Source organism: Homo sapiens, chromosome 5, assembly GCF_000001405.40.
Source record: "Homo sapiens chromosome 5, GRCh38.p14 Primary Assembly".
In the NCBI taxonomy this organism is placed as follows: domain Eukaryota; kingdom Metazoa; phylum Chordata; class Mammalia; order Primates; family Hominidae; genus Homo; species Homo sapiens.
Genome location: NC_000005.10, coordinates 52,738,679 through 52,751,639, shown reverse-complemented (window position 1 = coordinate 52,751,639; position 12,961 = coordinate 52,738,679). Strand labels below are relative to the sequence as shown.

The 12,961-nt window shown below is 37.7% G+C and overlaps 1 long non-coding RNA gene across 9 annotated transcripts in view; it reads left to right on the top strand.

Moving 5' to 3' along the window:
• Positions 1-12,961, top strand: part of PELO-AS1 (PELO antisense RNA 1) — a 127,387-nt gene that overhangs the window by 49,174 nt on the left and 65,252 nt on the right. For 2 of the 9 annotated variants that reach the window (NR_186452.1, NR_186448.1), the window contains exon 5: positions 121-187. The exons of the other annotated variants lie outside the window; for them this stretch is intronic. This is a non-coding gene — a long non-coding RNA (PELO antisense RNA 1). The remainder of the gene's footprint in view (positions 1-120; positions 188-12,961) is intronic. 9 annotated transcript variants of the gene reach the window in all.

Below are 12,961 nucleotides of genomic sequence, written 5' to 3'. Positions count from 1 at the left end.
GAATAGTTGAAACACTTTTGAGTTAGACAGACTTGGTTTGAATCATAGTTCTGTCACTTACTAGCCATTTTGACAAAGGGAAAATTTTTTTATGTCTTCATTTTCCTTTCTGCATAGAAGGAATTCGTAAGGACCACATTGGATGCAGCAGATATAAATGACCAGACACACATCAAGTACACCTCAGGTATGTAGAAACCTAAAGCTGAACACACACACACACACACACACACAATCACACACATACATATATAATCATGCTCCTATTGGGCAATCCCTCATCCCCACTTGGCAGCAGAAAAACTAAATTTCTTCTAATATGTAGACAGGCCATTCCAGGAACTCCATTTCAGTCACTCTATTTATAATCAGTTACTCATAGGTAAATATTAAGTCAAATTCTGCTATTATCATTTTATTAGTTCATGTTAATAATTCCTGGATCCTTCCTCCCTTTTATTAGGTTTGTCATTTTAAAATGGCAAGAGCCACAATTACTTTTGCATCAACCTAATAAATTCTGACTTAAAACTCCCAGAGAGCCTCAGATACACTATTTTCTTGCAACAAGTTTAGTAAGAGAGGAGAGGAGCAGAGTGTGCATTCTTGAGGGGTTTGAGGAGCATGTCAGTGAGAATGGGGATTCATGTGGGTTTTCCTCATTTCCTTTCCTTATGGGTCTGGTTGCCGCAGTCCTCGAACCCTGGGAATTCATACTGGTCTGTCCTGTTGCTTTTTTTGATGGTCTTTGGGCACCCAGATAAGCATCATTGTAGCCACCTGGCTCAGACTCATATAGGGAATGGATTCACCCCATTCCTTTGCTCTCCCACCAAGGGGGCTCTACTTACAACTTTCTCTCAGCTTTTAGGAAACCCAGGTCTCCCCACAATGCCAATGTTTGGTCCACAAAAAAATGGAGAAAGGAGACTACAATAACATCCTATCAAATATAATTAGGCCTTTTCTGTGTTCCACAGACACTGCTCTATAACACAATTCAACTTGCGAATGAGATATCCATTTTTTTCTGGTATATAGACACCTCTGTGGTGGATCCTGTAGCTCGTTATCCAGGTTCCCCTCAGGATGACAGAGCTCATTCTCCCAGCTGGTAGAAATTTAGGTGGCTTATGGCCGTTAACTGAGTTGCTCTCCAAAAATTACCTTCAACCCAAAGTTGCTCACTCATGAGTAACGGCAGGTTGGTGTGGACATATAAAGCCACAGCCCCTTCCCCCTAGGCCATCTGACTCTCCTGGGACTGGCCAAAGCCTATCTTGCACTGCACTGTAGCTCACCTCATCCTTACCTGCCTCCTCCGTCACCACGGAGGTTAATCCATGTGTGTTTACCACAACTCACCTCATCCTTACCTGCCTCCTCCATCACCACAGAGGTTAATCCGTGGGTGTTTACCTGTAAAATTCCTGCAGCAAATTTTCATCTCAGAGTCTGTTTCTGAGGAATCTTCCCTAAGAGAGGCCCAAACCATTGCCAAATTGTATGAGAAAATACGGTAAAAGGCAATAGAGAAAAATGGGAAGGGGCAGCACTTTGCAATCTATGGCTCCCTAAATTCTGTTTTCAAAACCCCTCTGTACCTCTCTCTCAGTTTGTCTATAACTGTGTGGGTAAAAGCCAGTAAAGTTGTTCTGTCTTATTAGTCTCTTGATGTTGTTTGGTAGAGAGACAGATTCCTAGAATTGCTCTCATGTTAATTTTGAAGTTTAAGCATGAAATCTCTTTTGTTCTTTGCTTGAGTTGAATTAGCTGCTCTTTAATATGCACATCTATCTAAACCACTGGGTGCAGGGAAAGAGACAGCCAGTAGCCCAGGGAAACTCAAAAGAGCAACTCTTGGTCATATTTCAAAGCATGTGTGGGTGACACACATAGTGCCTGAATTCCATTTATATTCCTTATATTATTTATACTAAGTGTGATATCCTCTTTCCTCCACATTTGGTCTTTGGGCACCCAGATAGGTATCATTGTAGCCACCTGGCTCAGGCTCATATAGGAACTTTTTTTCAGTAACTCTTATGTAGGTCCTATGGACAACATGACTTCTATTTTATTGTTTAAAATGTAGGCAAATAACTATGATGCAGGAGCACAAAATGAACTGTTACTTCTTTTTTTAAATTGAGATATAATTCACATCATAAGTTCATAATTTTAAAGTACACAATCTAGTAGTTATTAGTATGTTCACTATATTGTGCTGCTATCTTTCTATCCAGTTCCAAACACTAATTTCCATTCTACTCCAAAAACATCACTTATCCTTCAGCAGCCAGTCCTAATTTTCCCCTTCTCTCATCTCTTTTGGCAACCACTAACCTATTTTCTTTATGGATTTTTCTATTTTGGAATTTCCATGTAAGTGATATTATACAATATGTGGCTTTCTGCGTCTGACTTCATTTGTTTAGTGTAATGCTTTTAAGATTCCTCCATGCTGTAGCATGAAACAGTACTTTATTCCTTTTTATGGCTGAATAATATTACATTGTTTGGTTATACCACACCTTGTTTATCCATTCATCAGTTGATGGACATTTGGGTTGTTTCTCCTTTTTGGCTGTAGTGAGCAATGCTGCCATGAACGTTTATGCACATGTTTTTCTGTGAAAATATGTTTTTAATTTTCTTGAGTACATACATAAGAGTGGGACCCTGTGTTAAATGGCAAATATGTCTTTAACATTTGGAAAAACTGCCAGACTGTTTTCTAAAGGGTCTGTACAATTTTACATTTATACAAGCATGCATAAGGACTCCAGTTTCTCCACATCCTCACCAATACTTGTTATTTTCTGTTTTGATGCTATCCTAGTGGGTGTGAAAGACTATCTCATTGTGGTTTTGATTTGCATTTTCCTGATGACTAATAAAGACGAGTATCTTTTCATGTACTTATTGGTCACTTCTATATCTTCTTTGGAGAAATGTCTGTTGAAATGCTTTGCCCATTTTTAATTGGGTTATTTGTCTCTTTATTGTTGAGTTATAATAATTCTTTACATATTGGAGATGCCAGATCCTTCTCAGATATATGATTTGCAAATATTTTCTTCCATCCTGAGAACTTTTAACTTTATTGATAGTGTTCATTGCAGCACAAAAGTTTCCAATTTTGATGAAGACAAATTTATGTACTTATCTTTGGTTTTGGGGCTTTTAGTGTCATATCTAAGAAACTGCTAATCCAAGTCCATGCAGATTTACAACTATGTATTGTTCTAAGAATTTTATAGTTTTAGCTCTTACATTTAGGTTTGTGATTCATTTTGAGTTAGTTTTTGTGTAAGTAGAGGTCCAACTTTGTTCTTTTGAATGTGGATATCTACTTCTCCTGGCACTATTTGTTAGAAAGACTATTATTCCCTCATTGAACGGTCTTGGAACTCTTGTTGAAAATTAACTGGTCACAAATGTATGGGTTTTTTTCTGAACACTCAATTGTATTCCATTGGTCTATATAATGTCCTTATGCCATGACCACACTCACTGTCTTGATTGCTGTAGCTTTGTAGCAAGTTTAGAAATCAGGAAACTTCTCAAAATTTCTCCCATTGTGTTTTTCTTTTCCAAGATTGGTTTTTCTATTTAGAATTTCTTGTCTTTCCATATGAATTTTAGGATCAGCTTGTTCATTTCTGAACAAGAAAGTAGTTGGAATTTTGATAAGGATTGCATTGATTTTGTAGATCAATTTGGGGAATATTGCCATCTTAGTAAAATAAAGTCTTCCAATCCATTAACAAAGAATTATTTCTATTTTTTAGGTCGTCTTTAATTACTTTCAACGATGTTTTGTAGTTTCTCTTGTGCTATTTTCTCTTTACCATGGTCCACATCTCCAACTTCAGAACCTGCTGCTGCCTGTTCTGGGAATGGTTGCTATCATCAGACCTGATATCTAGAAGTAGTAGTAGGAGAGGGGCAGGCATTGAGGGGTTGATCGAAAAAAATGGTGAAAGGAAAAGGAAGTTCCTGGTAGAAGTCAGGAGATAGGAAAATGAATTTTATTTATAATCAAAAAGATTCAAGTCATTCATAAGTAATTCATGACAACATCCAGTACTTTAAAGCAACTTTTTCTTTAATCAACAACCATCATTTCACAAAATCACTCTTGAGACTTAAATTCAATGATGAATGACACCTCTATTGGTCAAGAAATTTCTTAAACTTCTCGTATCAGAATTGGATTCAGAAATCCTGGCATGGACTTAGGAATGTTCTCATGTTTGTGGTATCTTTTAAAGGTCATTACAATCTTATTAAAAGAAGTAAAGTATAATTTATTGAGGTTACTTTCTTAATGGTAGTTGGAAATTGGTATAGTGAAAATGTATTGAAATATTAACGCATGCTTAGTTCTAAGGTTATCTTTTCCTTTCCAGTTTCTAAAGAGTATCCAGGCTCTTTTGGTTCTTTTGTCTTAGGAGAGCTTTTAGTTTGTTCTCTGACAGCAGAAGGAGGGGTTGTTTCACAGCACATATGTGGTGAGTGGGTTTTGAGTATTTATAATCCCACTCTTTGCGAAGATTCCTGTGCATATTTTTCCTATATAACATTTCCAAGATCTACATGTTCTTGTGGTCAGTATTAGTATTAGAGAATACTGTGAAAGAACCCTCCAGAAATAACTAATATTGGTTGTCATACAAGCCCATGTTGGTAAGTATTCTGTTAGATTTAATTAAATTTAAAGAAAGCAAAGTAATGTGACACTTCTGGCCTATTTAAGTACTTTGTAGGATGAGAGTCACTCCTCGAACACTGGTTCTGATATAAATTCCAAACTAGGAGCACTGCAACTATGTTGAACTATTGTGAAATAAAATAACTTCTTTGCAGGGTGACTTTGAAGTGCAACATCCATTTGGATATAAGTTTTCATGGCATGTACTTAGGAATGTTCTCATGTTTGCATTATCTTTGAAAGGTCATTAAAGTCACATAAGTTTGTAATAACTTGATATTCATGTGGGGTCAGAAGTACATGCCGTTTAGACTGTGGTGCAATTTGAGGGACATTGGAGACAAGGATCATAACTCTGTTAGGTCTGGCTTCCTGCTACTTGTAGCCACACAGAGGTTTTCTGGGGCACAAAGCATACAAATTATGATTCTCTCTAAGTTGCTTTTATTACTCAAGGGAAAAATTAACTTCAGATGCAATTTGATATTAAGTTCTTCAAATATCACATTGATATGAAAATTATGAGTCTTATGGTTGGACAGAAAAATAATTATTATGCTTCTTGGTTCTGGACTTTTAAATATACCTAATCTGCTCACACCGCTTGCCACAGACATGCAAAGGATGATAGCAGGTTATAGCTTGAACTAAGGTATTTCCCCATAGCTCTCTGATTTCTGTGCTCAGTCTTCGGTATTCTGTTTTCATTTCACCAGCTCTTCAGTTCTTTAGCTTTTTCATTTTGTCTTGTGTCTCAGCTGTAGGCTCTCCTTGATTTTGTGATCTGCAGTTGGATCCTCTGCTGTTGGACCTTATTCCTTTCCCAATTCATTTTATTCAAATATTTTGCATTTTTTTCACCTGGCTGTTAGTGCTGTTTCCAGATAAGAGACACTTACTCTACTAGTTTTTGTTCCCAAGGACACACATCATCATCATCTTCTGGGCTGGACCCAGCCTAACAATCAGAATCAGACACTTCCATTTATCCAGTCATCTACCCTTTTGGATAGTCTGTCTATCTCTAAGATTATTGTTTTAGAAAACCTAGACTACATGATTTCTTCATTATAGTGGGTATCTCCTCAAATTTATAGGTTGAAGTCCTAACCCCAGTACCTCAGAATGTGAGCTTATTTGGATATAACATCACTGAAGATGTAATTCATTATGATGAGGTCATAGTAGACTAGGTGTAATGGTTAATACTGAATGTCAACTTGATTGGATTGAAGTATGCAAAGTATTGATCCTGGGTGTGTCTATGAGGGTGTGGCCAAGGAGATTAACATTTGAGTCAGTGTGCTGAGAAAGGCAGACCCACCCTTAACCTGTGTGGGCACAAGCTAATCAGCTACCAGCATGGCTAGAATATAAAACAGGTAGAAAAAAGTGTGAAAAGACGAGACTGGCCTAGCTTCCCAGCCTACATCTATCTCCCATGCTGGATGCTTCCTGTCCTTGAACACTGGACTCCAAGTTCTTCAGTTTTGGGACTCAGACTGGCTCTCCTTGCTCCTCAGCTTGCAGATGGCCTATTGTGGGACCTTGTGATCATGTAAGTTAATACTTAATAAACTCCCCATATATATATATAGAGAGAGAGTTTTGTCCCTCTAGAGAACCCTGACTAATACACTAGGGTAGGCCCCTAATTCAATATGACTAGTGTCCTTACAAAAAGGGAAATTTAGATACATAAATGCACACATGAAGAATACCATGTGCACATCAAGGCAGAGATGGGGTGATGCATCTATAAGTCAAGGAATGCCAAAGATTTCTGGCAAGCCACTAGATGCTAGGGGAGAGGCATGGAACAGATTCTTTCTCAGAAACCTCAGGAGGAACCAAACCTGCCAACACCTTGATCTTGGACTTTGATGTGGTTTGGCTGTGTCCCCATCCAAATCTCATCTTGAATTGTAGCTCCATAATCCCCATGTGTTGTGGAAGGGACCCAGTGGGAGGTAATTGAATCACGGGGGTGGGTTTCTCCTGTGCTGTTCTTGTGATAGTGACTTTGCTCCTCCTTCGCCTTCCACCATGATTGTGAGGCCTCCCCAGTTACGTGGAACTGTAAGTCTATTAAACCTATTTTTCTTGATAAATTACCCAGTCTCGGGTATTTCTTCATAGCAGTATGAAATTGGACTAATATAGACTTCAAACCTTCAGGGCAATACATTTCTGTTGTTTAAGCCAACCAGTGTGCGGTACTTTTTAAGGCAGACCTAGTAAACAATGCATGCTGTTAAACATAAAATTTGTATTCCTAGTTAGACAGAAGACCACTTCTTTTTTTCAAAATTATATTTTGAACTTGATTGATTATGTCACTTATCACATAGTCTCTATATTTTCTTGACCATCCAAATAAGTTGAATGATGAAAACTTTGTCATTTTTCTATATTTTGAAATATCAACTAGAATAATGTATATGAGATATGGACTATATATGAGATACGGAACACCCTCAGTTCACAAACTCCACCCACTTCATACACAACGTGCTTAGCAAGCAAATTAAATTCACAGATATACCAGTTTGAACTTATTTTGTTCTCATTTTCCTTTATTAGTGGTTTGACCCTGGCTTAACCTTGGTTTTGATTCCTTAAAAGGGATAAAATTTGGCCTAGCTCCCAGTTATATTTGGCCTTTTGCAAGTTGAGTCTTCCTTAGAACTTCCTTCCTCCCAATCCATGCCAATTAATTCATCAATCTTTTCTTAACTAACATTTCTGTAATCTCTGTGCATTTTTGTCAACTACTTCTGAGGCACCCATGTGAGTCAGCCACTGTGCTAGCACTGAAAATATAGCAGTAAGAAAGGAAAAAACAGCCGTCTGACACTGGGTTGAGGTTTACAGAAGAGTCACAGTGCAACCTTTTGTGGCTTGAATTTTTGTGCTGTCTTCTCTTTGCTGCAAACTGCTATGATTACTTTAGTGATGAACCAATTCAGGCTTGAGTATGTATCACCTACTTACTGACACAGAAGATCCTGAAATTCTGAGTATATAAAGCTAATGAATAAAAGGTATGGGATCAAAAATTTCTTCCAGGCTAATATCCCCACTACTCCAGCAACCTAAGCCACCCACTTCTCTTCTTTTTAATTATTAAAAACGTTTTTGTTTTTATACATGTACAGAGTTTAAGAAATCAGATAGAGATAAAAGTGCCCTGTTAGAAAGCAGTGGTCCCTTCTCCTACCCACTCTACCCAATGCTCCAGCCTTAGGCCCCAGAGCAACCATTTTCAACTCTTCAACTTTTTCACCCTATTTCCTCCACATTTATAGATAATATTACTGATATGTCTTCATATGTCACGATTATGTATGATTTACTAGCTTCCTTTGGTAGTCATTGAAAAATGTTGCGCTTCTCAGCATTCCCTTGCCATCACCACACCCCGACTTGCCTTTTCTTCAGCCTCCCAGCATAGCTCTACCACACATTCTCTTTAAACAAGCATGTTAGCATGGTTATGGTTACATAAATAACATCCATCGCTTTTCCAAGTTTATTTCTCAGACAACTTTTGGCTTTTCCTAGAGTTAATCATTGCCTTTTTGAAAAGACCTCAGTTTATAATGCAGACTTTGAATAATCACTCTATTTTTAGCTAAGTGCCTTCCCAGGGCCTTGCTTATCCTGATCTCTAGTGGCCCTAAACCCTGAGACCCTCAAGGCTTCTGCAGAGGGAAATGACTCACGGTCTTTGGTGCCTTTCCCCTGTGGAGACTTCAGCAGTCACTTCCTTTGCTCTATTCAGTCAGTAACCAGTCCTATATCTACTTTGCAGTATCAATACCACTTTTTCTACATTATAATTTTAAAGTAATTTAATAAAGAAAAAGAAGTTAACATGTATGTTCAGAGGCCCCAAATTCCTCTTAATAATAATAAATTTATCTCTTCTGGACTTAAGACTAACAGATGTCTCTCACAAAGCCACCACAGAGGTAGACTCATTAAATCTCATGTCAAACATCTAATATAAAATTCTACTCTTTTGGGTTTTTTTTTTTTTTACCTTCTCTCTGCCTGTCTCTCCCTTTCTCTCAACTTTTTCCATTTTCCCAGTGGCCCTTAGATTGAGGGAAAGAGGTAAAATTGTATAATCTGCTCACTGGGTGAATATATACCAATTGTTATACTAGAAAATTAGAGAGGCACCCAGGTGGCAATAACTTCCCTTATCTCAGTTCATCCATGACAAATGAAAGATTTTCTGAGATGATAAAGCAGCACAAATTATCCTAAAAAGAGAAAAGCTGTTCAAAATCACGAGTCCTAAGGGATGAGTTCATCATCTCGCTTCATTTTTACTGATAGCCTGAATTTACATGCCAATATGTTTGGATAATTAAATGAAATGCCTCCTTTAGTTCAGGTGTTATTAGACCAGTGAGATGGGGTCTAAATTGTGGCTTTTCAGCCAAATGTAAACTTTTGGGGTGAAAATTGCTTTCTTCTGCAGTTTATATTCCTGGACTACTTCATTTCTAATCTCGTTAATTGCTTGGCAGGTATATCACATATCAGGATTTTTGTTAAATAAATTAGCAGGAAGTACATACAGGAAAGTAATCTTATAATGGGTTAGTACTATCAAACACTGTCACCATAAAGACCACTAAGATTCGTGCTCAGAGTATTTTGAGACATGTTGGCTTCAGTTCAAGAATAATCTCTTTCTTGTTTTCAGCATAGGGTTTGACACATAGTACTTCAAAAATCCACCAAAGTTATTTTACCCTTGGCACCGCCTTATCTAGCCCAGGCAGAGGCAATTTCCAATGGTTGCACCCTAATTCTACCTTCCAGGAGAATGTGATTCCATCCTCTAGAAATTGCCCTGCCTCATGTATATGCATGGAACAAAAAGGTCCATGGTATCCCTAGGCATGTCTTCTATCATAAATGCACCACATCTGGGAGGAAAAGCCTCATTTTAAGACGCAATGTTGGGCACACTTTATATTTAGTGTGCCACAGTATCCCAAATGTCTAGCATAGAGTGAACATGAAAAATATTTGCTAATTGGCAGCATGTCTTTGCCATTTTGGAACTTACAGTCTAACTGGCAAAAGAAACCATATAACAAGAAGTTATAGTGAACTATGATAATTACAGAGGGAAGTGAGGGCCTCACAGGGAGGCACTTAATCCAGACCCGGGGAGTCAGGGAAGAGCTTCTGCAAAAAGTGGTGTCCAAGTGCAAACTGGAGGATGAATGGGGCTTACCAGCCAGGAGTGGCTGTGTGGGTAATGGAAGGAATATGGAGGGCAGGAGAGCGTTGCAGCAGAGAATGTCCCAGCAAGAAGGAATATTGTAAGATAAGGCTTGAAGAAGAGACAGAAACTGGAGAGGAAAGAAACTATGACTGGAGAGTAGAATAAGTGGTGTGGCTGAAAATAAAGAAGAAGAGACAATAAGGGAGAGCCATAAATCCATACGTAACAGTTTAGATTTTATTCTAAGAACCATGAGTAACTACTGAAGGGTTTTAAGCCAAGGAGTGACAGAATCTAGCATGTCAGCTGGCATGATGTTCTCACAGGGATTTGGATTCTTGATCTTCAGTGGAAAGGTTGAGGGACAAACATTATCTTTTTCCTTGGCCACATTCTGAGGTATATTTTACATATTGGCAAACTGAAATCCATAACTCCTACCAAATAATTCCTTGGATCTGATCCCACCTACTCTTCGTTACTTTTCAGATTCCGTGTGAAATTTACCTCTTATTTATCAAGGTGCAATCCATTTCTTAAGGCTCCTGAAAGGACATGCCAAAGAAATTGCTAAAGCCCAAAATGTTTACTTTCCAGCTGTCCCCAACAATTTGTGGATAATATTTCCTAATATTTGGGAGTTTGAGAATTTATTACAAAAAAAACCCATGCTGGATTAGGTTTGATACTTAAATTCAGATATGTAAATAATTTCAATTAGGCAATATCCCAAATTGGTATCTATTCTTTTTCAGAATTATTAGAATTTTGTAGCAGGATATTTTGTTCTACCAGTCAATTTGATGTAGGCAGGCACTGAAGTCTGCTCTGGTAAAACTGAACCCAGTGATATCATGAGAGACTTTGTTGGAGTGTCTCCCCACTCCTTTCCATCAAGCATGTGTTTCTAAGTGCTGGAACAGCATTACCTACCATTCTCCTAAATAAGAGCTGGCCGGCCACGTAGCTGTGTCAGGAGAGCTTCTACAGTGTTTCTTCTGAGCACTCTACAGAGGTGATTCTGTTTGGGTGCCCTCTGTTGCTCTTCTTTTATCCCTGGTCCCTGGTAATAGAATCCAGTGATGAAAGAAGCACAGAAAAGCCTTAGTAATCAGATGGACTTGGGTTTACATCTTGATTTTATCACCTTTCTAGTATACTGTCTGAGGCATAATCTCTATTTTTTCAGCTTCATTGTCCTTATTTATAAAATTACAATACAATATCCAATATACAAGATTATTGTAAGGATGAAATGAGACACAATGAATCAAGTGCCTAGCACGAGGCCTGGCCAATTTAATGCTCAATGAGTGGCAGCTACTGTTACACCCATGAGGAAAATGTAAAGTGCTGGCATTTTTCCATTACAAAAACTAAGTGTGGACTTTAAAATTAGCCAACACTCTGGGGTAGAGGAACATATATAAATCAGATGTGGCTTTTGCCCTAGGGAAAATCCCAAAAGACAGCTGCTTCCTGTCATCAAGAGGAAAATGTCGCATGGATTGAGGAAGCAATGGTCTGTGTGAGATTTGAGATATCATTTCATCATATTGATTGTTAGTTTTCTTATCTGTAAAATTAATATTTAGGTTAAATGACTGCTAGGTACTTTCAGCTCTGTATTTCTGAAGTGCCAGGGATGCATTTTAGCCATATTACAATTTTACTAGGGGCTAAGACCATTAAACATCTATGTTCAGCTAAGAACGCAGTTGTGGAGCCTTTGTGTGTGTGTGTGTGTGTGTGTGTGTGTGTTTGTGTTGTGTTTGTGTGTGTGTGTGTGTTTGGTATCCACACAGCATATAAAAAGATTCATAATATTTAAGGCTATTTATTTTGGGTTCTTCTGTTATCCCGCATTTCAACCATGATTACCACAGGGATTTCAACAAATGCTTACCCTTCTCTACCCATATTTATGAGGGCTTGACTTTGCCTCTCTGCTCAACAGTCTTATATAAATATGCCATACTTTTTTATGTGTATAAGTAATTCAAATGATTGATGTAATGTGTGTGTGTATTTGTGCACACATGTACACTTGCATAAGTATGTGTGCACTTGTGTGTGTGCAGAGGCCTGCACATAGAGACAGACATTTCAACTTCAAGAGTTGACCTCAGTTAGGATAAAGTAATGTGACTTTGGGAGATTACAAAAGATCCTACCTGTTTTAAATTTATCTCCTACCAACGAAACACTGACTTTTCTTTTAATGCCAAACAATGAGTATCTCTTGGAAATATCATCTAACCCCATGACTTCAACTACCATATTGGTAACTCCTCAAAGCTCTAGCCTTCCAGAGAAAGCCCTAGCCCAAAAACATATATTTCAAATGAAACCAATATAGTCTGCAGACTACTAAAAAGGCCAGGTGATTGATTTCTTTTCTTCATTAATTTGAGTGCAATTTGCTTCCTTATTGATATAAGTGGTTTATCTCATTGGAAATAGCATCTTTATTATACAATCACCTTGTGTTTTGACGGACAGCTACTGAAAAACCATGTTGGTATGTGAAATAAGGGGAGTTGACATTAGTGTTTTTGTCATGAACTACAGGTCAGGCTAGATATTGTTGGGGAATAAAAAGGTATAAAATAAGCAATATATGCACATAGGAAAGTACTCACAATTAGAAAAGCTGGAAACTACCTGGGTTATTATTGATGGCTAATAAGTTTATCTAACACTTAATAGTTTAAAAACATATGAGGCTCTTGGCTATGATATGTGTATTTTTTTGAGACTGGGCCATATGTTCAAACAAGCTTGGTATTCAGATCAAATTGCCTGCAAAATTTGGTTTTAGAAAAGCTCTCAAGTCAGTTGAATAATTAACTTTACAAGCCTTTTTACTACCTTGGTATTTCTTTTCACTAATGAATAAATTAAAACAAACTGGTTTGTGTATGAAAAAAAGCTAAATATATTAATGTGTAGCACTCATCTTTTGAAGCTGAACTCTCAAAGTTCAATATCAA